Raw genomic sequence first — 24526 nt, forward strand, 5'->3', positions numbered from 1 at the left:
GTTAAGATAGGGTCATACTGGAGTGGAGTGGGCCCCTAATCTAATGTGACAGATGTCTTTATAAGAGGACGGTCATGTGAAGACAGATACAGGAGGAACGCCTCGTGACAACGCAGGTAGGGACAGGGTGAAGCTTCTACAAAACAGGGAACACCAAAGATGAGCAGCCACTGCCAGCAGTTAGCAGAGAGGCCTGGGACAGATCCTGCCTCGTGGCTTTGGCTTCCAGAAGGAACCAACCCTGCCCCACACCTTCACCTCAGATTTCTGCTCTCCAGAACTGCGAGAGAGTGGATTTCTGTTTAAGCAAGTTTGTGGTACTTTGTTACAACAACCCTAGCAAACTAATACAGCCTTAAAAAAAAAAAAAAAAAAAAGTAATAGGAAAGGAATTAAAATATAACGCTACCTTGCAGCCTCCACCAAACACTGTTGCCATTTGGTTCTTCTCCTTCTTGTTCAACCTCAGGAGGGGGTGAAAAAAGTCCAGGCAGCTCCTGGTGATAGCTATGCAAAGCTTCATTCTGCAGCAGTAAAAGTGTTTCCTAGAAGTACTAAGGCTCGTTAATTGCAGCCACCCTATAAAAGAAGGTCCTCTTTCATGAAGAGCCTGTTTCTCTGCAGGAAGATGGGGCTGACCTCAGGGCCTCCAGCACTTAGGCACTTATCCATATGTCTGTAACCATTGTTGTGAGGTTAGTTGATAATGGCTCATTATCCTCGCTAAAATGAACTCGTTGAAGTATGAGGCCAGGCCTTATTGGAATCCTTCCCTTTCCCTTTCCCTTCCCGTTTCCTTTTCCCTTTCCCTTCCCCTTCCCCTTCCCCGTCCCTTTAGATGTAGTCTCCCTCTGTCCCCCAGGCTGGAGTGCAATGGTGCGATCTCAGTTCACTGCAATCTCCACCTCCCGGGTCAAGCGATTCTTCTGCCTCAGCCTTCTGAGTAGCTGGGATTACAGGTGCCCGCCACCACGCTCTGCTAATTTTTGTATTTTTTTTTTTTTTTTTTTTTTTTTTTTTTTTTTTTTTTTTTTTTAGTAGAGATGGGTTTTCACCATATTGGTCAGGGTGGTCTCGAACTCCTGACCTCAGGTGATCCGTCCGCAGGTGAGCCACCCGCCTCGGCCTCCTAAAGTGCTGGGAGAGGCACAGGCGTCAGCCACAGTGCCTGGCCTACTGTCTTCTCTAAAATGGCATCTGTGCATTCATCTCAGCCGCCCCTGCTCAGATAAAAGCAATGGCGCCTCCTTTGAAATCTGAGAGACGCAGGGCCCTGCCCATTCTGCGGAATTCCTTCTCCCTGCTGCCTGCTGTGAGGAGGCCCCCTTTGCCACGGAACCTGAAATTCCTGCCACTGGAATTACGCTCTGGACAAGCGGCAAGATACTCCTTTCAGTCCCAGCCACTGGGTTCCTGCTGCACAGGAGGCCAGGGTGCTGTGAACCTGCTCTCAGCCCCGGGCAAAGGGAATCTCGTTAATCCAGGTGGCCAGCGCCTCTTCCTCAGAGCATCTGCAGTGCTGCAGACAGGGCCTCCCTGCGTGGGGCTTCTGTCCTCCACACTGTGGTGCTGCTGGGATGTTTTCATGGGGCCTTTCCCTTCCCGTCACCACGTGTGCTCCAGAACCCGGTGCATTTGGATGAAGCCACTAGATGTATAGGTCAGCAGCTCCACATAGAATCAAATTATCAAATGCACACTACCTGATCCAGAATAGATCGTCCTGGGGTAAACACATTCACATATTCTGAATGTACAAATGGCTGTCTAGTAAACACACTGGAACTTCCATAATTATTGTCCTTCCAGATAATTTTTCAAGATTATATGCACGTATTCTGCCATTCCTTTTCAAGACAACTTTAGAACTTCCTTTGGACAGCTACTGTAAGCCAAAGGGCTTGCATTTGAATATCTTGCATGAAGCTAAATCTTTGTTCATGAAAGGCAGAATAATTTTATATGCCACAAAGCTGCAGTAGTGTGTTAGGTTTAGTAGATGGCTAAGCACTACACTGTATTATTCTAATCCTATTTTCACAATTTAACAAATGTGAGACACCGTGCTACTTGTACAAGAGATACAAATTAAGGAATCTTCAATGACCTTGTAGCCTAGAAAGACCTTTAGTAATTCTTCTTAATCTCCCTACAGAGCTAAGTGATCCAGAGCTGAATTAATCCAGAATTTATGTCTTCCTCCGCCTCCGGAGTAGCTCTAGAAAGGTCAAACCCTTCCGAGATGGAGTGTCTGTGGGGGTAGGTCCTCTTTGCTGTGTGCGATCCTGTGAGACAGCGGGATGTCCTGCATCTCTGAATTTGAAGCGAGGAGTTTTTCTGCTATGTTTGGGGAGAGCCTCACTCCCCTGCTCAGTAGATCAGACGTGTTCTCTTCTTTCACCACAGCTACAAACAACACACTGGCATTGTTTCCCAGACACTCGACTGTCCCGATGGGCATTTGGACATGGTCTATGAGAGGAATAAGCTCCAGCCACTGTAGTGGCTCATGGGAGAGGGAAATGGGTAGAAATTCTTTCCCAAACTGGTATTTCTAGTAAAGCACTCAGCCAGAGCCTGCAGCTGTTCACTATTCCATATCAATTCTAAACAGCATTTTCGTTGGCAAAAGAAAAGTGAGAAAACAACAAAGCTTGAAGCCTAAAACTTTGGGAAACCCCTTTCCTGAATGTGTTTACTTAGGGCTTAAAAATATGCCTGTTTTCAGAACAGAAGAACTAATATCCATGTTTTCTATGCCGATTTTTCAGAGTACATTTTAAATGTAAGTACATTTAGTGATTAAAAGGGAAAAATACTTGATCATTTTCTAAACATAACCAAAATCTCACTATGTAATTGTTTTTTCCTCTATTTAAGAGCAGAATATTTCATTGCTACCAAAATGCTAGTATTTTGGAGAAAATAGAAGAACTAGAATAAGTAGTCAGCAATACAAAACCCTGCGTGGAAGATGTGTATTTTGGATAGGTGTCAACATGTCCAAGCTCTCAGTGACAAACACAGGCTCATTACAGGTCTGAGCAAATGTGCCACTTCTCAGGAAGACAAGGCAGATCAATGTAAAGGCAGGTGGCACCTGGTATGGCTCAGACTCGCACGTGGTTCTCCACAGAGCTGCTCTCGGCTCCTTTGGAAGAGGTTCAACGTTGGGAGCACAGGTTGCTTCTCTGGCCCATGTTATTCCTGGAGCTACTACTTCCCAGGGCAGAGTTCATGTTTTTCGTTCATAAATGGCCTGGAAATCCTAGCATTGGGCCAGCCATCCAGAACAGTGGAGCTGCATGATCTGGTCTGGGGATATTTCAAAGGGAATAGAATACTGAGGCCCTGTGGGATGGAGGCTGCTTCCCGATATTGAGAACTGCACCAGACTGAGCTGTGTCCAGAGGAAGGGAGAACGTCTTTCATTCACTTAAAACTCACCTAACACCTGACACCTCCATCTTGGCATCATCCACCTGTAGCCTCTAGCCCTCTTCATCTGTTAAGTGAGAGTAACTGGCAGGTTATTTGGAGAGTGAAGTGACATCGGCAGAGTTCCAGGTATGGTGTCTGATGCGTGAGTTCGCCCCCTTTCCCGGTCCCCTTCTCCTCCATTTGACTAATTATCAAAGAAAGATTGCTTTAGTGAATGAGACAGTTTAGATCCATTCCCTTGGGAAATTATGGTGGTCAGCCCTCCGCTCGGTCTCACTTTTAGATACCAGAAACTATATGTCCTTGTGTTGGCAGAGCTGGATTGTCTGTCGCCCTCTGGTGCAATCCTGCATTAGTAAGGGAAGTGTTTTTCTGGGGCGTTCTAATGAAAAGTGCTTAAGCATTTGTTTTGGTGCCCAGATAATGTGACTGTAGTTAGTATGTAGTGTTTGGACTTTTTGCTCATGCTTTTGTTGTTGTTGTTGTCATTGCAGAAATAAAATTAACCCCTTAATCTTATGCTTAATGTACACACCAAGTGGTTTGCATATTATACTGAGAAAATAAAAAGATTGTTTTAGAAAAACCAAAGGACACCAACAGCTCTTTACAGCCCCAAAGCACGTGTCGCCAGAGGTCACAGGAGGGGTTCTTAGTTATCAGCAAGGGAAACTGAGGCTTTCTCGTTTATGCAGAAGTGGAATTTATTGAATAATATTAAGGGGGCTATGTCGCCAATGCCACAGTCACACTGCCCACACAGAACTGGCCTGGCGAGGTGTTACTTTGACCACCATTGCTGGGCCAGGACGCTGCCACCAAGGCCGTGCCCCTGCCAGAAACTAAATGTGGCTGCCCCATCCCTGGCCCTTTCTGTCAGTAGGGTCAGGTTCAAACTCCTGGGTAGTCAGCCCAGCTCTCATTGACTCAGTCTGAACAGCTGCCTGTTCCCTAGAATCCACATGCGCTGGGACAATGGGAAGTATCGGTAGACGCTATGGTGGGAAGATGACTCTGTGTCCACCAAGGTTCTTGGGCTGGGGAATGGTCTGAGCATATGACGGCCTCAGACCCCAGCCAACCAAAGGGAAAGGTCTCCCCTGTACTCACGAAGCCTCCACGATGTCCATCAGCACTTTCTTCCTCCGTTGCAGTGTAGGTCAGCCCTTCGCAGATGCTCACAATTCCCTGATACAGCCGGTTGCCCTTTGTTGTGTTAAACTGAAAGAATTTCAGAGTTGGGGCCAGGCATGGTGGTTCATGCCTGTAATCCCAGCACTTTGGGAGGCCGAGGCGGGCAGATCACGAGGCCAGGAGTTCAAGACCAGCCTGGCCAACATAGTGAAACCCCGTCTCTACTAAAAATACAAAAATTAGCTGGGCATGGTGGCGTGTTCCTGTAATTCCAGCTACTCGGGAGGCTGAGGCAGAATTGCTTAAACCGGGAGGCAGACGTTGCAGTGAGCTGTGATCATGCCACTGCACTCCAGCCTGGGCTACAGAGCAAGACTCTATCTCAACCACAAAAACAAAAACAAAACAAAACAAAAAAAAACTCAGAGTTGGAGAAGGACTCGGACAAATGTCACATTATAGAGGAGGAAAAAGACCCAGGAGGCAGAAAGACTTCCCTGAGGGCCATGATGGTAGTTAGTGCATCCCTTAAATACAAGTCTTCTGCTTCCTATTCCTGTAAATAACTTTGCATTTAACATTTTTGTACATTAAACGTTACTGATTCATAGTCAATGATTATGGTCAGCCCTCCACATCCGCAGGTTCTGCATCTGTAGGTTCAACCAATCGTGGACCAAATATATTCAAGAAAATGAAATAAAAATACAACAATAAAAAAGTACAAAAAATCGAGTACAACAACTATTTACATAGCATTTACATTGTATTAACTATCATAAGTAATCTAGGGATGATTTAAACTATGTGGGAAGATGTGCCTAGGTTATATGCAAATACTCCATTTTATATAAAGACTTGAGCATCCATGGATTTTGATATCCAAGGTGGGGGTCTTGGAACCCCACAAATACCAAGGGACAACTGTGTATTATTTTCATAACCCATTTCTGCCTAGTGTTCCATTAGTGGAATGCTAACCATGTGGGAATTATTTATATCCTACTGTTCAAGGTCATCACCAAGGTCTGATTTTTCACACACACACAGAATTGCAACCTCCAGCATAAATGGGGATGAATTTACTACTAACATGTAGTTTCCATCCACAAATCCAATGTCCCTATGCTATTTGTAACTGTGGAGCCAAGAGAAGCTGTTGAATCATGTGGTGAATATGATCAAGAACTCAAGATTAGGGATAAAAGCAATCATTCTGTTATTCCTTTTTAAAAATTATTAGCCTGTAATTTAAACATCAGGATCTCATGTAATACAGAACAATATCTTCTGACATTTTTACAATACTAGTATTCTTACAAAACACAGTTAGGAAGTTACATGAAGAAAACACGCAGACTGTGTGTGGCTAAATCTTTAGTACCTCATTTCCATAGTCTTAGAGAAAGTTTAAATTATATTGAAACTTTTCTCAACTGCTATCTTAATGTGTTCAGGCTGCTGTAACAACATATCATTCAAACTGGGTGTCTTATAAACGATAGAAATTTATTTCTCACAGTTCTGGAGGCTGAGAAGTCCAATATCCAGGCAGATTCCATGTCTGGTGAGGGCCTGTTTCCTGGTTCATAGATGGCGCCTTCTCTGCGTCCTCACATGGCAGAAGGGGTGAGGGAGCTCTCTGGGGTCCCTTTTATAAGGACACTAATCCCATTTGTGAGGATTTTCACTCTCATGACCTGCTCACTTTCTAAAGGCACCACCTCCCAGTACTCTTGCATTGGGGATTAGGCTTCAACATGAATTTGAGGGAGGCGCAAACATTCAGACCATAGCCACTGGTCAACATTAGGTAACCTGCAGTGCTTGGCTGTGGGATGGGAAGCCTGTGTTGTAAAGGACGTCTGAGTGGGAACAGGGGTCTCAAGCTGCCTTCACATCTAACGTCAGCACACTAGAGATGGACATTGCAGCTGCAACCTACTGTGCCTGTAAAGCATTTAGAATTACGCCTTGCATACACAAAGTGCTCAATAAATGTTAACTGTTATTATGGTTGGGCATCAGCCACTTTAATTATCTCTTTCAATCCTCATAGTAACTCTTCAACATAGGTAGCCTTATTTTGCAGTTGAGGAAACTGGAGCTTAGCAAAGTTTAGTGACGTTGCAGAGCTAGAGTTCAAACCCAAGTCTGACTCCAAAGTGCATCTATCTGTGTATTTGCTTATTTAACCTCAGACACACAGAATCGGATTAATTAGAGTCCTTGATTCAGCACACGTTCTCTTCATTGATCCTTACTCCTTTATTTTATTTTTTAATGCTATTTTTTGTTTGTTTGTATTTAATAGTAAGATAAACACTGTGAACTCACCACTTACCTCTCACCATGAGAGCGCTGGTGCCCACCTCCACCTCCGAGTTCCACATATCCCATTACCCTGCCTTCCCCGTCCAAGGAAACCACTGTCTGGAATCCTTCGTCATTCAAGCCTTTTCACAGTATGGCTCTTTCCAGCCTTTTATTTCTCTACTGTTTCGCTTGGAAACTCTACATTTCTAAGACAGTGTGGTGCCTCTGAGCTCTGTGGCTTTTGCTCCTGCTAGCCTTTCTTCATAAAGTCTTTCAGCCCCACAAGTGTCGCAGCTTTTCAAAGCCTTTCCCATCCTTTAAGGTCCTACTTTTCTTTTCCATGAAGTCTTCTCTGGGCCACGATGACTGGGGAATCCTCACTGTCTTCTGAAGTTCTGCACGTACTTACTCTGCACATAGTCGGCGGTGAGGTATTCATCACATTGAAATCGAGTTACATGTGGTCCTGTTCTATAGTCAACCAAAACTCCTGGGGTAAAAATGCTGCTTTTCATCTTGGCAATCTCTATCCTAACCAGCACAGTGCCTCGCTGAATATTAGAGGCCTGAGAATTTTCTTTGTTTTTTTTTCAGAGTGATTTTTTTTTCTCTGCTTTATTTAATACTTTGAAGCAGCACACATTTCAGTTTGCTTTATGCTTGATTTTTTTTTATTTCTTCTAAACAAACGAGATACATGTGCAGAACGTGCAGGATTGACACAAATAATAGCTGGCAGAGTGTCCTAGGAAAGACTCCTCAGATGTTATAAATAATACACAAACAAAAACACACACAAATATTTACTGAAGACTTTTCTTGCGCTGCAAGGCACTGGCTGTGTAATGCAGAATAAAACCGACAAAATTCTTGCCATCTGGGATGTGCATGTTATGTCAGCACAGGGAAGAGATCAAGTGTGTGTGCATAGGACATCAAGAATACAATAAAACAAAGTGGACAAAAGGAAGCGAGGGTGGTGAACACAGGACACCTGAATGAAGGACAGAGTTGTTGGAAAAGGACCCCTGAGTGCCCAAGGGAGGAGCTGGCCTGGAGTAGTGAGGGCAAGGTGATTGCAAATGAGGCCTTGGTGATTGGAAATGAGCTCATCCCCACGTCTTATAAATAGTTCTCCAAGTTATCCGAGGCAGGTTATTCTGTGGCAAAGACGCCTCAGCTAACTGGATGCAGAAGAGACAACTGAATAGAGCCTCATGGTCTCGGAGTCTTTTTTTTTTTTTCCTAGGTTATTGGTGTTCATTTCTTGTTTTGTTTTTTTTTTTAAGACATATCTTTGGCATTTTGTACCTACCTTCTGTTCTAAATTTTGCATTTTTACTACTTTCAAGTGGGTGGACTTTGTTGTGGTGGGTAGTTCAAGATTCATCATACAAATGTGATTGTGCTTCGAAACTCCCACCAGTCTGACGCACGCATGGGTTTTCTGGCAACATTTGCCATCTACAGCACTCTCTTTGATCACCTTCATCATCTTCCAACATTCCTGCCACAGTCACTTCCCAGAAACTTGCTAATCTGTAATAGAAACCCTCAGATTCCTATGGTGAATTTGTAATCAAAAGTCACATATTGATTTCAAAATCAATACACACTTTAAAAATAACACTACAGATTTAGCAGCTCAGGGAGGAAGGAAACCGTAAGTTCATCTGGTGCAGCTACCCGTCTGGGATGTGAATTCCTCCTCTTCATGAAATGTTTACATTCATATCACAGTCTAGGGTTTAGTGAACCATAAAAAGCTGAAAGTTAATGCAAACAGTAGTCGCCCCCAAAACATATACCAACTGATTTAAAAGGAGACACAGCAGATGGAGATTATTGTGAAAAGAACTCTTACTGGCCAATTTTTTTGTTATTTTAATCTCTGCTTATCCCAATTCTTTTAGCTGCATATACTGAGACACTTCACATCTATAATAAACTTGGTACCAGAACACAATTCATTCCAGACCTAACTCTTTTAGATCATTATAACCGGGGGAGGAAAAAAGTTAAAAAGGCTTATCTATCTTAAGAAGTATTTCTCAGTGTTCGCTACACGTCACTTAATCTTTTCCAAAATTTGACAATATACAAAGCAGTTTGTAGTGACTTTTCATAGTGACTCTACAATAAAATGGGCCTGTCCTCCTTGCTTTTCCAAATGCAGTCATCATCTGACAAGGTTTAGCTATTTGGGGAAGTCCTTGCTTGCAAACGTAGTTCTTTTGCCAAACAGGTTTGGTCAAACTGTGTCCCCTAGTTGCACAGTTACCCCATATTTGATTAACAAATAGCAAAACAGAGATAATCTCAGAAATATTCAAGAGTCTCAAACCCCAAATAAAATATAGGCATCCTCCTGTTGAGTCGAATTGGCAATTTTGATTAGCAAGGCTCATGAAGCAGTAGATATCCCCTCTGATCCCCATCCCAGTGCGAGGGCACAGTGAGTTGTATTTTCTAAGTATAAACTATTCTCTAGCAGTTCGGCTGGAGTATTGGGAGCAAAACTGTATTTTTCTAATATTTTCAGACTAAGACAGTGTCTCTGTTTTCCGGACTTTTCCGTGGCTAATGAAGGATTTATCAGCAATACAAAGAAAGTTCTCCCAGTGGGTACTCCACGGGGAGAGGAGCTGGGGTCTCACTAGTGCACAGCCATAAAAGACACCACAAGCATATTACACGTGAAGCAGGATCCGTGCCCACCACAGCAGTTGTCCCAGGAGTTTCCTGTTTGAATGAGACACTTTGGGTGGATACTGCAGGGAGGGAGAAGCTGTGTGTGGCCACCACAGCTGGAAGCGTGGCCTGGTGCCCTCACAGCTGTCTGGGAGCCCCTTCCCGGGAACGCCGGCTTTTCCCGGGTGCACCATTGCAGCTGGAGCCATTGTCGGCCGCCTCGAAAACATGCAGTTGGGCTGCTCTGGCAGGCTTCTCCAGCCCTCCTCCCAAGGTTTACCTCTCTAAATGTCAAAAGGGAGAGAATACTGTATTTGTTTTTCCCTCTACTGAAATTTATTTGTGACATCAGGCATCACTTTCACCTTAGTCATTTTGGCTGGATTCCCATACTCAATTAAATATCCTTCCTTCCATATGGCCCATAGGAAGAGAGAGAAATTACATGTAACTGGTCTTTCCTCCTCTTTATAAAGTCTGGTGGCTGAGCAACTTGGCCTGTACTTCCTTCATGACCCACCATCCCATGACTGCAGGGCAGTTTTAAACACAGCAGCTTGGTTTCTATTGCACGGAAGCTGGCCAACAGTCACAGTGTGCATTTTTCTATTGCACCTCCTTGTGTTAACCCAAGTTCACTCACAGCTGTAACTACAGAAGTTTTTCTGAAAGCAAGTGAAGCCATCCTTCTTTTATTGAGTTTTTGAGCTAGGGTCTCACTCTGTCACCCAGGCTGGAGTGCAATGATGTGAACATGGCTCACTGCAGCCTTGACCTCCTGGGTTCAAGTGATCCTTGTACTTCAACCTCCTGAGTAGCTAGGACTGCAAGCATGTGCCACCATGCCCACGCTTTCTGATTTTTTTTTGTAGAGACAGAGTCTCTCTATGTTGCCCAGGCTGGTCTTGAACCACTGGGCTCAAGTGATCCTCCTGCCTCAGCCTCCCGGAGTCCTGGGATTACAGGTGTGAGCCACCATGCCCAGCTCATCCTTCCTTTAAAACCGGCAGCTGGGCAATAATACAGATGGGACCAACTAAGTTTCTCAGACCACTCAGGGAAGCTAGTCTTGCATAGACAAAATATACACCCTCTTACCTGCCCCACCTTTAAGGCTGGTCCCCAGGGTCCGCGCTCTGTCCTCCAGCCTCCACGCTTCCCTGTGACTAGCCTCTGTGGTCAAAGGTGCTTGCTGATGCAGCCTCTGTACAGCCTCCATGCAGTGCGTGTCTTTATGTGGAGGAGACCGCCCTTCTTTCAGCAGTTATTGAGCATCTACCCACTCTGTGCCGGTCATAGGGCTTAGAACTGCATGTCTGGGGGGAATTCTGCAAAGAGAGCCTGAAATAAAGGCAAACAGTGAGAGACGGCCAGGAGAAACCATGAGCACTGCAGTGAGTATCAAGGGACAAAGCTGAAAAAGGAAGACTGAACGCTGAGCTTCAAGCCATTCATTTCTATGGGCCGCGGGAGCCCTTGAAAGTCTGTGGGCAAGTTTTGGTGAGATTAAGCTGGTAGTTCTGTTCAGGACAGGTTGAAGGGATGAGAGATTAGGACACTTACCACCTGAATCCTGTCGCTGGCTTTAGTTTAAACCACCCGTAATGTAGACATCCTGACTTAGAATTCCCTGTGCTGCTTCCTTTCTGATGGAAACAGCTCTGCTAACAGAGTGCAGGCTGTGGGAGCCGAGCCCCGTTGCAGGCAGCCTGCAGGCCGCAGTTTCCTCGGCTTACCACCCAGCGCTTTTCATTCGGCTCAGCGCTAGGGACCTCTGCTTCCACTTCTCGGTGTTGGAAATTGCCATTTATTTTTGCTGTCGATGATCTGTATTGACTTGGCCTGAGTATGCGTGCACGTCTCTGGTGGTCTGAATTATATAGACCAGAAGGGTGTCTGATGCCGCTTTTATAAAAAATAATAATAATTTGAAAGGAAAAATGACTCACTGAAGTCTGGCAAATACAGAGCCCTCTCTCTGAATCGACTTCTCACTTGGCCATGTTGAATTCCAACTGGGTGTCCTCAGACATTTCTATCCCAAGATCTACTCCTGGCTTAGAATCTGTTTTGTTTTGTCTTATTTCAGCTCATGGTTCTTGTTCCCCCAGCTTTATGGGGTATAATTTCCATACAATAGAATTCAACACTTTCAATGTGTGGTTGGATGGCTTTTGGCAATTGTATACAGTTTTGCGATCACCCCTACACTGAAGATATAGAACACTGTTTCTCGTCTGGTGATTGCTGGACATTGAATTCTTTCCAGTTTTCACTGTTATGAATCTGACTATGATTTTTGGCATGGATTTGTATGTAGCTATAAATCACTTGGTAATTTTTCAGAAGAATAGCAGTCTTGGGGCCTGGATGGCTTATTGTGGTCTCAAAAAGTTCCTGATGATAAGGTTGCAGCCTCATGCTTCTTTATAAGAATGCAGTATTACTTGCAAGGGAGCTTGGGTAGATAAGAAAGCAAGAAAGTCCATGTGGAGACCCTGTCCAGAGAGCACAGACATGGACTAAGTTAAAGGATGGTAAATTAGCAATGCCCAAAAGCACATGGAGGAGATACTTCCCCTCCTGACTCTATTGGTGATGCAGTTTATTTGTCTGAGCTATCTGAGCAAGTTTCCTCTCACTTACGTGCTGGGGACAGCAGATTCCAATGCAGAGTCCTTAGAGCTCAGGCTCCCCTCAACCTGACGCATCTCTCAACCATTTGTCTTAAGCTGTCTGAAGTCAGCTTCCCATCTTGGGGAGGTAGAAGTGAAAGGGTTTCCACTTTGCCAAGTGAGCGTATATGGGGAGACTGAGGGTGTGGAGTTGATGATGGTTGTGGGGTGGCTGACAGTGTCCACAGGGCTAGTCTTGAGGCAGGCTGACACTGGGGCCAGATGGGACCACTGTGCCTCCTGTCCCCTCCACCTTCTCCTAGTCCAGGAAGGGAATAGCAGCAGCTGCTCTCAGTGGGGCATTCTTTTTCCAGAGCCAGGCCAGCCCAGCAGTGATCCCTTGATAAAGCAAGTCACCGTTATCAGAGCAAGAACTATACATTCACTTAAAACTTTTTTTTTTTTTTAAGTGTAAAATGGGACTGCAACAAAAAGAAAATTGTGCTTAGGAGAATGTCCCTCAGAAAATGTACTTTATGATTGCGAGGAATATTTGCCAAGGTCTTTGGGGTAGGCTGAGCCCCTTCACCTCCCTGGGGACATGCTAGGATGGCAAGAGAGGATCAGACATCTCCCAGGGAGGCTGTGTCCAGCCGGGCTCCTGGAGTGGCGTAAGTCTGGTTGAACCAGCACTGAACTGCCTGAGTCCATGTGAACGCATTGAACTGTTAAACCGTGTCTCTGGCGGCCACATCTCCGGGCTTCACCCGCTGCTCTCCCCTGTCCTGCAGGTACAAAGTCAATAGTCAACCTCAGTTTTGAATGTTACAAAATTATTAGCCTCTCCATAGTTCTTCCCATGGCTTCTCACCCAAGCCTTCTGCTCCTCTCTCCTCTCTGCCCAGGTCTCACCAGCTGCCCTTGGGCCAGGTCACTGCAGTGTCTGCCAGCACCACGACAGGCAGGCTGGAGGCCCAGTTCTCACAGAAAAGACTCGAAAGGGGGCTTTCCATCCTTTATAGTCTACCTGCTACTTATAGGCCACCAGGACAAAGGATCAAGGTGGCAAGGCAGAAATTGCAGCACAGAGCGAATGGAAAGGCAGTCACTGAAGGGATTCTTTTGCTTTTACAAGTAGATTTTTCTTAAACAATCACTGTATGAAAACAAAAGTACAAAATTATTAAAACACCTGGATGATGAATTGACAACAAGAGTTTTTCTGGAACATCCTCCTGTGGGCTCGGGGAAGACAGTTTTTTTCTGTGGTGATAGATGGTCAGGAAATGTAGTGACATAGAAGTGAAGGCATTTTACAGAGCTCACCTTAATCAATGGCTTTTTCACTTATTAAGTTTTCTTTTATTTTTTCCTTCTTCAAAAATGACTGATACCTTAATTTATGGGAATTGTTTCCAGTAAAAATTGGGACAATGATAGTGAGTGGAGAATATTTATATGCTATACTTCCTGTCTTCCTTCATCTTTTATTACTGAGGATATTGACATGAAAACAGGATCTTTGTATCCAATGAGTTCATCGACGGCCGATTTCCCACCAGAAATTCCAGGCTTTCTGACATCAGCGTGCATTGCTCTGCATGTCACTTGGAGCACCGGCATCTGGAAATGATGAAATCCTGAACAACAAAGTTTGTTTTCAGGAAGACAAGGCAGTGGGGAAGGGAAGGGTGCTAAGCTTCAGTGACTGCCTACTGTGTGCCAGGCATTTTCATCTTCCATCTCGATAGAATGTCTAACTGTGCTCTGAGATGAGAACTATAAATAGCTGGTCAGCCAAAAGTTTTCTGCTTTTTCTTAGTGATCTCAAGTGTTTCCATGACACGTGCTGCAACCAAATACATTATGTGTAAATTGCCAAAGACCTGTTGATTTCCAAACCATTATATAGTCATGGGAATGCTTGTATACCTGAATTGTCATAAAATTGATGAGATGCGAAGATACAGCAGAATATATCAGATAATTCTGCAGAACTCTTATTATGGAAATGAAAATAATTCAATAGAGAAGTCTCGATTCATAAAAGACTAGTTTTACTCTAAAGTATCTAAAAGACATGCATTAAAAAGACATGGCACTGTCCCCGAAACGATCTTGCTGTGTTGCATTTCAAATGGTACCTTCATTTTGAAACTTTGCACATTAGCACGTTCTTTATAATAGCAAAAAGTGGGGGAGTGAGGAACATTTGGTGCCGGAAGAATGATTAGGTAAAGCACACCAAGCTGAAAAAAGTATTTTTGCAGAGCGTTTTCAAGAGCATGGAAGAGTGTTATAATGTTAAGTGAACAACAAAAAAAAAAAAATACAGATCCAACTATGTAATCATTACACATAGAAATAAAAATGAGCAATAAAGCCAGGATGTCAGTGAGGATGGAGTGGAGGGAATGTCCTAAATGTGCGTTGGCCCATCATCACCTCATGCATGAAGTGAATGGAAACATTTGGTTTATGTTTTCTGGAATGTCTCATAAGCCATTGTAACCAAAAACTACACCATGAACAAAAAGCAAAGCAGGCCCTGCAGGCCCTGGGTGGGAAGCTGAGGAGGTTGGCAGTTTCTCAAACTCATGTCAGATGCCCCTCGGCCACTAGACAGAATCTGCTGCTATCTGGGTTCTGGTTGACCAGAGGCCTAATCTGGAATCTGGTTCTAAAAACCAATTTTTGTTATAGGGCTTGCTGGATACAAATCTGCAATGAGACATTGTCACAAGCAATAGCTTAAGAAAAACATAAAGGAAAAAATAATAATAAGTTTTTGGAAATAAGCCTGGAAAAGCAGTTTATTGCCATCTGCTAACTCATTTGATTCTTGCAGTAACCCTAGGGTAGGTATGATGGTGATCTCTGCTTCAAAGATGAGAAAATCGAGGCTGCCTCAGGTCACTTGACCTCCTCACAGGCCAGTGGAGACTGGCTTCAGACTCGGGCCTTTGGACCTCAAGGCCCTGGTCTTCTTTTGTTGTTTGTTTGTTTTTGTTTTTGTTTGTTTGTTTTCCTGAGATGGAATTTTGCTCTTGTTGCCCAGGCTGGAGTCCAATGGCGCAATCTCGGCTCACTGCAACCTCCGCTTCCTGGGCTCAAGTAATTCTGCCTCAGCCTCCCGAGTAGCTGGGATTGCAAGCATGTGCCACCACACCCGGTTAATTGTGTATTTTTAGTAGAGACGGGTTTCTCCATGTTGGTCAGGCTGTTCTCAAACTCCTGACCTCAGGTGATCAGCCCGCCTTGGCCTCCCAACGTGCTGGGATTACAGGCGTGAGCCACCACGACCGGCCAAGGCCTTGGTCTTCCTATCGCATTTTGACACCTTGCTCAGTACGATGAGTAGTTAAAATCACTGTCATTGGCTACATGCCTACTTTTTATAGTCACTCTACTTATTGTGGTTTTGGCTACATCCTAGTTGAACTCTAGGGCTAGTGTTTATTAAGGTCTTGATCTCATATGGCATTTGTAGACAATCGAATGTTGAGTGATAAGCCCTGGTAACGTGATTTCTCACTGCTGGCCCGTGAAGCCATGGAAATGTTCCCATGGAAATCACCCCATGTGTGGAATGAATGGTCAGTGGAACATAGGCATCTTTCTCTCCTGTCCTCTAGGTTTTAAAATACCTGAATGTCCTGAAATGCAAGAGTATCCTAAGAGCACTTTAGAAATATCTTTGCGGTTTCTTTCTGGTGTGCTTTGTGGGTTGGGTGAGGTACCGTATTCCAGGACACGTGGCCCTTAGAGAAACAAATAATTTCCTTTCCTCCTGCTTCAGTGTTATTGGTAAAGTGGGAAGGTAGCCCCAAGACACTCAGCTCCTGCACTGCATTTGGATAGAAGGGCGTTCAAATTCCACCAGGGACAACTTCGTCTAACCCCCTAGAATTCCTCATTTTGACCCTTGGCATACTCTATATTTGTTGAAATACAAAAAAAGGAGTTGAAAGTGAGTCTATCTATATGTAGTAGGTATATCGTGTTCACTGTAAAATTCCTTACTGTATGTTTAAAATTTTTCAGAATACAATGCTGGGGGAAACCTATGGAACAGAAGTAGGGAAAAAATTCGACAACGCAAAGTGAGAGTGGGAAACCATGTGAAGCTCTGTTAGAGTATCATCACTAATCTCTTTTTTCCTTATACCTATATTCATGAAAGCAAATAGAGAACAATACAATATAGTGTAACACCGTGTACCCATCACTCAGCATTGCTCAATCTTAGTTATCATTATGGTTATTATTATTATTATTATTTGAGACAGGACCTTGTTCTGTCACCCAAACTGGAGTGCAATGGGGTGATCCTGGCTCACTGCAGCTCAACCTCTCGGGCTCAAGTGATCCTCCCACCTCAGCCTCCCAAGTAGCTGGGACTACACGTGCGTGCCACCACACCCGGCTAATTATTTTTGGTAGAGACAGGGTTTTGCCATGTTGCTCAGGGAGGTCTCAAACTCCTGGACTCAAGCAATCCTCCCACCTTGGCCAATTTTAATATTTTATTATAGTTGTTTCCATTTTTTGTGTTTTTCATAAATTAAATCTTGTAACTATTATATATTTCACAGAATATTATAAAGTTAAAGCTCCCTTTGCATCTTTCCCTCTCCAATTCCATTCTTCCTCTCTCTCTAAAAGTAACTGCTGTCCTGAATTTAACGATGATTTTTAAAGTCATCTAGGCTCTCGTTTTTCTTTCTTTTTTTTGTTTTTTTTTTTTTTTTTTTTGTTGCTGTTGTTGTTTGTTTGTTTTAATTGAGAAGGGGTCTCACTCTGTCACCCAGGCTGAAGTGCAGTGGCGCTCTGTGGGCTCACTGCAACCTCTGCCTCCCAGGCTGAAGTGATCCTCCAACCTCAGCCTCCTGGGTAGCAGGGACCACAAGCACGTGCCACCACACCTGGCAATTTTTTTTTTTTTTTTTTGTATTTTTGGTGAAGACGAGGTCTTGCCATGTTGCTCAGGCTGGTCTCAAACTCCTGAGCTCAAGTGATTTGCCTGCCTTGTCCTCCCAAAGTGCTGGGATTACAGGCGTGAGCCACCGTGCCAGGCCGGCTCTTGTTTTTCTCTTCCCCCTACACCCCAAATAAACACAGAGCTTTATTCCTGCCTCAGTCAAATTGCTGCTTCAAGGCCGCAGTTTGGACACTATGTTTTTTAGGGTGTGGTTTTTTTTTTTTTTTTTTTTAGACAGAGTTTCGCTCTTGTTGCCCAGGCTGCAGTGCAATGGCACAATCTTGGCTCACTGCAACCTCTACCTCCCGGGTTCAAGTGATTCTCGTGCCTCAGCCTTCCAAGTAGCTGGGATTACAGGCATGTGCTACCATGCCCGGCTAATTTTGTCTTTTTAATAGAGATGGGATTTCTCCATGTTAGTCAGGCTGGTCTCAAACTCCTGACCTCAGATGATCCGCCCACCTCGGCCTCCCAACCTGCTGGGAATATAGGCATAAGCCACCAAACTCAACTTATAATTTATGATTAAGGCTGCAGTGCAATGGCGCGATCTTGGCTCCCTGCAACCTCTGCCTCCCAGGTTCAAGTGATTCTCCTGCCTCAGCCTTCCAAGTAGCTGGAAATATAGGCACACGCCACCACGCCTGGCTAATTTTGTATTTTTAATAAAGATAGCATTTAATTATGTTGTCCAGGCTAGTCCCAGACTCCTGACCTCAGGTGATCCACCCACCTCGGCCTCCCAAAGTGTTGGGATTATAGGTGTGAACCCCTACAGCTGACCCAGACACCATGTTTTTATGGCTGGATTTTGTCTTTGCTCTGGTTGCGGTCTTAGGCACCCTTATAAATAGAGCTTTGAAGAGAACATTACCAATGTATTTTTAATGAGGTCATGTTATAAAATTGTCGCATAGGACTTCTCAAGAAAAGACAGCCTCTTCCTTGCAAGATACTTTCTTTTGCAAAGATTGAGATCATTCCACAACAATAGACCTCTGTTCATTGCTTCCTTCTTATGCAAAAGTGGCCGTCCCTCCCATCAGAAGGACCCCCGCTGGCACTCTGTCAGGTAGACAGAAGCATGGATAGAAGGCTGGTGGTGAGCTCCAGGTGCCTTCCCTATTGTCTCTTCTCTCCTATAACCTCGTATAACCTTCCTGGGTTTTCCTGGGTGCATGTTTTTTTGTTGTCATTGGTGTTTTGACAGCTGGCTGTCCAGGCAAGGCTGCTGTGTTTGAGCAGAGGTTTGCTGAGTTGAGCAGGGGTGTGGCTGCAGGGCCTAGCCTGGCCTCCCAGGAGCCCCCGCTCCCCGTGTGCCCAGGTCATACCCAAACAGGAGCATTCCTTATGCTGGTCCTGGACAGCGTTTCTATTAAAGGGTTCTTTGTGTTAGGAATGTTCAGCAGAGCGCCATGAGCCGGGTGAGAGTGGAATGAGTGGTTTACCCAGGGCACCTCTGGACCCTGGGAGTCACAGCTGTGGAATTTTACTGGAGTTTTCACTGCAGTGCAGCCCAGGGTAGGACACAGAGGGCTTCCACTCCCTTGGAGCATGCTAATCTTTCCAAAACACTCATTCGTGGGCCCTCATAGAAGCTCCTAGGGCATTACCAAGAAATAGCAGTCCTTGATCATATCCAGTGAATTCTGAAACAGTGAAGGAATTTAGATCTCATGTGTCCATGTTGCTGAGGGCGTCCTGGGCACAGAGCCTGCTCGCATCAGGCCAGATTGTTTGGAGTATTGCCAACTGGCCTTTTTTCTGGAGAAGAAAGTACTGACGCTACGAAGACTTCAGTGTTCTCCTGCAGGGGACTGCAGGGGACTGCAGGGGACTGCAGGGGACTGCAGGGGAAGGGAGGATTGGCCTGTCACTTGCCATCTCTCATTTCTGCGATGCTACAGAGAGGGAAGGGGAGGCATACATATGTCAGAATCTAAATTACAGCATGTGGAAAGACCTGCCCTCGGGGTCAGAGCACACCAGGCTGGGGAGGACCTAGTTTAAAGGGATAGAAGAGACATTACTTTAGCTCCTTCTCTTCAGGGGCTCCATAATGGTTTTAAACTGTTCTTTAAAATCGAAGTTTTTCTAATCTACTTTTGACTTATGTATTAACCAAGAACCTCTTGTAAATCTTAAGACTATATAGTTGTCAAAGACAGGCAACTTGAGGTTGAGTCTGTTGCTAACTAACTTACTGACTTCGCACAAATCACTTTGTCTTTGGGAACCTCGCTCCCCTATCAGTAAAACAGAGATGATTGATTGATTCAAAAGCATTCACTGAGCACCCACTCAGCTGCGAGGCACTGCCTGCATACTTGGGATATGTCAGGGAGTGAGAGAGGCAAGGATCCCTGTCCACATGGAGACTTCATTCCAGCAGAGGAGACACACAGGAATGAGTGAATGGAATAAGCAAATAGGGTATGTACTGTAGGAGCAAACAAGGGATAGAAACATGGGAGATGGGTCAGGAGTGTGGACTCGAGTCCACAGCGCTAAACTGTCCCATTGAGAAGGTGAATGAGTTAAAAGAGATCAGGAAGTTGGCCAAGTAGATGCAGGGGAAAAGTGTTCCCTGGAGAGGGAGCTGGCCAGCTGCATGCACAAGGCCTGATGGACGGCTGAGCCAGTGGGGAAGAGGAGGCAGCAGCACAGTCGGGATGAACTGGCAGGTGGGCTTCTGCTCCAGAAGAGATGCGGGAGCCCTGCAGGTTTGAGTGAAGAGTGCATGGTCCAACACGGTCTTCAGAGCATCGTTCCAGCTGCTGCAGGTTTGAGTGAAGAGTGCACTGTCCAACAAGGTCTTCAGAGCATCATTCCATCTGCTGCAGGTTTGAGTGAAGAGTGCACTGTCCAACAAGGTCTTCAGAGCATCATTCCGGCTGCTGCACAGGGAAGAGCATCAGGGGCAAGAGTTGATGCAGACAGTAATAGATGGTAATAGAGTCAGATACAATTGGGCAGGCAACGGCCCTTTACAGATGACGAAGCATCAGAAAAGTTAGGGTGCAACCATTTGTTTTCAGTTTACAAAAAGGGAAGACGATTAATCCCCAAAAAGGAGCCTGTGAGCGTCAGATGAAGAATTTAAGAAATGAATAATATGGGTCACATGAGACAGTCTCTTTCTTTTTATTCATTTATTTATTTTTACAAAAAAGTATGTTTCTGTGTCCTTCAGCACAGTTTGCAGGAGCATTTAGAGCACACCCGTGGAGTGGCCCTTTTATGCTTGCCAAGCATGCTGAACACCGTAAGCCACGTGTGACACATCTTCCATGGACATGAAAGATATGTTGATCATTTTATTGGGCTCCAGTCTCAGCTCTGCCACGAACTGGCACTGTGCCTTGGACCAAGTCACTTCATCCCTTTGGGTTTGCGTTTGCTCCCCTGGAAGGTAGGGGAGGGGTGCAGTGAGCTCTGGCGTTCTTCTTAGACTCTGCTGCAGCTGCATGAGTGGGTCTATGGCACAGCCCCCTGCCTGCATCATGGCAGGTTATACACAGTAAAGAGATGAAAGGAATTTTTCTGCTAAGGGAAGTAGCCCCATCTGTCAGGATAGTTGGCTCCATTGTGTCTAACGTAGGTATCTTATAAGCCTGTACACATGGCAGCCAAGGGGACCTGGCCGCCAGAGCCGTAGGAGATGACCCAGCACAATGGGCTGGGCAGTAAGGAAGCCAGACTCTGGAGCCAGCGTGGAGGTGCAGGAGCTCGTGAGTATGAGGGCATGATGAGGGGTGCACAGAGGAACCCCTGGGCTAACAGGGGCCCAGGAGACAGTATTACGGCATTGGGCTTTGTATTGCCGGAGACCAGCACAGATCCCACAATGCAACGATGCCAAAAAACGGTAGAACTGAAAACCCCAGCCAGATCAACGCGAGAATAAATCTCTTTTCTGCTGAAATTGATAGCCTCCTAAAATGCTAAGACACATGCAGCGGAGAATAATCATTATTGACCATGAAATAGCTAAGAACCAGCTGAGAAAATACAGAAGGACACACAGTAAGAATGAATGAGAAAACTCTTGTATAGAGGATACGGTCAGAGTTAGCAACCAGTTGCTTCTTCATGTAAATTAAATCAGCGGAGAATCTAAAACCATCCCGTAGACCACATTTAGAGGGTAGGAAGGATGCAATGGGGCCAGGTGGGCAGGAGATGGGCTTAGCATCCAAGCAGGCTGGACTCACAGCCCTCTGCCTGGTGTGTGATCTCAGCACTTCTTGTACCTTATCTAAGCCTCAATGAAGGTAATAAAATCACCTGCCTATAAGCCTGCAGTGAGAATTAGAGGAGCAAATGGATGAGCCTCAGTCCTGTGTGGGGTCTGGCTGCTCACAAGGCACCATGGACGCCGTCTTTACCATCATCACTGTCGACCCGGAGCCAATGGTGAAAGCAGGACACAGGCAAGCCCCAGCGTTTCCCACCATTGTCTTATTTTTTCGGCTTCAGGAAGACATTAGACTTCTAGGAAGAGATTCCTTAAAGCCAGGACTAGAAGGTAGACTCCAGATTTTGGCTACAAGTGGCAAATATGTCTTGTAAGATGAATTTTATGTACTTGTGCCAAGTGCCATTGGAAATACCGAAGACTGTGCAAAAATAAAAGACAACAAACAGCCCCAGGAACCCGGAGCCCTCTCCCAGCCCAGAACATTCACCAGCTCGGCCAAGAGTTCTGCTGGGTTTTCTCTGGGGGCTGGTGCTGCTGTGGACACGACAACCCGGAACACGGAGGGAGGGCTCAGCGCTAGGAAGGGAGAGGGAATGAAGAGGAGTTTCCCTCTCTTTGCTAATTTCTTCGTCTCTGGGAACATTTCCTTCAACAGAGTCCTGCTTTTCTCATCCTCACACCTCACTGCGCCCCTCCTGAACCCACTCCTTTCTGAATATGGTCTACTGTCCTTCCGTGACCCACATCACCTTGGTCCTCTCCCTCATAAGCACATCCTAGGTGGGCCTGCCCTTCACTTACCCATCTCCTTAGAAGAAACGTGAGCTCTCCAAAGGGAAGGGCAGAACCCTGCTTGTTGGTCTTTCTGCCCCCAGCACTTGACCTAGAGCCTTGCACTGAGGACGTGCCACTCATGTCTGCTGAATAAACAGCCACATTTCCAGATGACGATGTCCTTTTCCAGCCAACATCAGCTCAGCGGGCCTTCACGTATTTAGTTATACTTGTGCCTCCGCTCAACAGGGTGAGGATGCTCCTGGACACAGAAATTAGCTCTGAGGCAGGAAGGAGGAAAGGGGATGCTTCTGGGAGGCAAAGGCGGTCAATCAGAGTGAGCACCAGAGACTCCGTGTACCTGGGAAATACGTGGGTTCCCACACCAGCCTTGGGGAGCCAGGGTGGGGAAGAGGGTCTGTAGAGCAAGTTTAGGATGCAGCACATGCCAAGCTTTTCAGAGTCTCACAGTCAGGAACAGAACTCATGCAGGGAGGGGAGGGATTGGAAAGTAGGAGGCAAAGCAGAAGCCCCGAACCCAAAGACAGAGCCGGCGACCGGCCAGAGTGCAGCTCTGAGCCTCAGACATGAGGGGAGAAGAAGGGGATGGGGTGGGGGGCGGTCGTGAGGAATGTCGTTGTCCAGGCTCCACCCGGCCCACCAGCTCCGCAGAGGAAGGAGTGGGCTGGGAGAGGCACACACCAGAACAGCTCTCCTCGGGGCAAAGCAGGCTTTCTTCCCGAACACCCAAGGCTTTCCAAAAGGTAAACACCATTTCCCCCAAGCGACCCCAATGTTTGCTGAAGCAAAACCTCTCGTGTGAGCCGGCGGGCGGCTTCACGACAGGCGTGAGAAGGCCATGGCCCTGTGTGGGTGAGGAAGCGCAGTGCGGCTCCCCCCTGCGTGGTGGGACTAAGAAGAGCCCCCTGCCACCCGAAAGGCGCCCTAACACTTCAGAGAGCGGATGGCTGCCGAGGGTGGCCAGGCTGGAGCTGCGGCTTCCCGCCCGATGCATTGCAGAATGTAACTTTCCAAAATGCATTGCTCTCATCTCAGCTCAGCGTGAAAACACATGTGTGCACACACGCACATGCAGCCCCGCTGAGCTGGGTGGTGAAAAGACCCTAATTAGTTCTGATTCCTTAAGGCATGTATTTTAAAAAGCGTGAAACCTATTGAGATGCTACTTCCTAGCGCGAATACGGGGCTCTTAAAAGTCCTGATAAAAGTGAAAATCCGAGGCGCGCCTGGGAAGTGGGAATGTTCCCTCCAACTCAGGCTTCCACGGTCATGAGTAGGAAGTCCTCTTCCTAATCTCAGTATCTTAAAAAGAAGCCTTGATGTTGTTACGTGATTACCTAAAAGGAATGCCTTCCTCCGCGGACCGGAAGGATATTTTTAAAGGAATGTGAAGCTTGTGACAGGAATTATCGATACCTTTGGAATTTTTTTTTCCAAGTGACTCAGGCTTACTTGAAGCCATTACCTCGGAGTTAGTCAGGGACTGCATGACGCCAGGCCCCAACTGTTTAAAGCAGAGCGCGGCTTAGTGAAAGAATGAAAAAACCGAGGATGTTCTTTGTCCATTATTCTCACCGTGATGAATGATGCTTGTTTTCCTCTCCACTTTAATTAGAATGTTTCTACATTTGCCAAAGAAAATGTTGGAATGGAGACAAAAACCTGAAATTATAGGAACAGGGCTTGATGTAATAGCTTATTTGTAAAGGAAACACAACTTGTTTGGCATTTTATTGAAACAGGAAGTTCAGAAGCTTAGTACACACAAGTACAACAAATTCTCAGGTGCTTGTTGAGTCATCTGTTGTTGGAAATAGTCTCCTGGTAGTTTTCCCCTTGATTTACTTTTTATCTTCATTTTGTTTTTTTGAAAGTAGTGAGGGTAGGAAGTTACAGAGAGATTCAATTAGAGATTATGTGTATTTTTAAAAATCAGCTATCAAGATTAAATAAAGCAAGCGGGAATTCTCTCCTTGCTCCCATATACCAATTTTTGTAATTATGTACAAGATGAGGGAAACCAAAGAAAAACAATAACTTGCTTCAATGCAATTACTAATTCAAAAGTAACCATTACTCTGGGGAATTGTATTAGAGATTAACAAAGAGGAAAAGTACTGTGGTTTTCTTTCTCTATGTTCTATTTGCTAGGAAGCGGTCAATAAAGTAACCTTTTCCCCACAGGAGCTGGTTAATAGTTCGCTTCATGCTAAATAAAAGTTACAGAAATATCTGGAGCTGAGTTGCTGGAGACACAGAAATCTTCAGGTTGGAATTTCTTGTCCTTTTCCAAAGGATTAGGCCAGGACATTGCTGTCAAATCTGCAAAACCTACTCATCCTGGCAAGAGTG

General features: G+C 45.4%; 1 protein-coding gene across 10 annotated transcripts in view, besides 7 other annotated features; it reads left to right on the forward strand.

The window, feature by feature from the left end:
* The window catches only part of MCPH1 (microcephalin 1), a 241882-nt gene that overhangs the window by 169065 nt on the left and 48291 nt on the right, over positions 1–24526 (forward strand). The gene's annotated exons all lie outside the window — the stretch shown is intronic.
* Positions 926–1472: an enhancer, noted in NCBI's record as "NANOG-H3K27ac-H3K4me1 hESC enhancer chr8:6434138-6434684 (GRCh37/hg19 assembly coordinates)". NCBI's record gives its function as "activates a minimal SCP1, AML or CMV promoter by ChIP-STARR-seq in naive H9 embryonic stem cells {active_cell/tissue: H9 hESC(naive)}" and the evidence as "EXISTENCE:reporter gene assay evidence [ECO:0000049][PMID:30033119]".
* Positions 3029–3201: a silencer, noted in NCBI's record as "fragment chr8:6436241-6436413 (GRCh37/hg19 assembly coordinates)". NCBI's record gives its function as "represses an EF-1alpha promoter that drives an FKBP-Casp9 reporter gene in an ReSE screen in K562 erythroleukemia cells {active_cell/tissue: K562}" and the evidence as "EXISTENCE:reporter gene assay evidence [ECO:0000049][PMID:32094911]".
* Positions 11355–11524: an enhancer, noted in NCBI's record as "experimental_103492 CRE fragment used in MPRA reporter constructs". NCBI's record gives its function as "activates a minimal promoter by MPRAs in K562 erythroleukemia cells, with activity observed for the non-introgressed 8:6444652 variant allele {active_cell/tissue: K562}" and the evidence as "EXISTENCE:reporter gene assay evidence [ECO:0000049][PMID:34662402]".
* Positions 13003–13502: an enhancer, noted in NCBI's record as "H3K27ac hESC enhancer chr8:6446215-6446714 (GRCh37/hg19 assembly coordinates)". NCBI's record gives its function as "activates a minimal SCP1, AML or CMV promoter by ChIP-STARR-seq in primed H9 embryonic stem cells {active_cell/tissue: H9 hESC(primed)}" and the evidence as "EXISTENCE:reporter gene assay evidence [ECO:0000049][PMID:30033119]".
* Positions 17318–18234: an enhancer, noted in NCBI's record as "OCT4-NANOG-H3K27ac-H3K4me1 hESC enhancer chr8:6450530-6451446 (GRCh37/hg19 assembly coordinates)". NCBI's record gives its function as "activates a minimal SCP1, AML or CMV promoter by ChIP-STARR-seq in naive and primed H9 embryonic stem cells {active_cell/tissue: H9 hESC(naive and primed)}" and the evidence as "EXISTENCE:reporter gene assay evidence [ECO:0000049][PMID:30033119]".
* Positions 18235–19150: an enhancer, noted in NCBI's record as "OCT4-NANOG-H3K27ac-H3K4me1 hESC enhancer chr8:6451447-6452362 (GRCh37/hg19 assembly coordinates)". NCBI's record gives its function as "activates a minimal SCP1, AML or CMV promoter by ChIP-STARR-seq in naive and primed H9 embryonic stem cells {active_cell/tissue: H9 hESC(naive and primed)}" and the evidence as "EXISTENCE:reporter gene assay evidence [ECO:0000049][PMID:30033119]".
* Positions 22896–24095: an enhancer, noted in NCBI's record as "P300/CBP strongly-dependent group 1 enhancer chr8:6456108-6457307 (GRCh37/hg19 assembly coordinates)". NCBI's record gives its function as "activates an origin of replication core promoter dependent on BRD2, BRD4, P300/CBP, MED14 and CDK7 cofactors, with strong dependence on P300/CBP, by STARR-seq in HCT116 cells {active_cell/tissue: HCT116}" and the evidence as "EXISTENCE:reporter gene assay evidence [ECO:0000049][PMID:35650434]".

Source organism: Homo sapiens, chromosome 8 (assembly GCF_000001405.40).
Source record: "Homo sapiens chromosome 8, GRCh38.p14 Primary Assembly".
In the NCBI taxonomy this organism is placed as follows: Eukaryota; Metazoa; Chordata; class Mammalia; order Primates; family Hominidae; genus Homo; species Homo sapiens.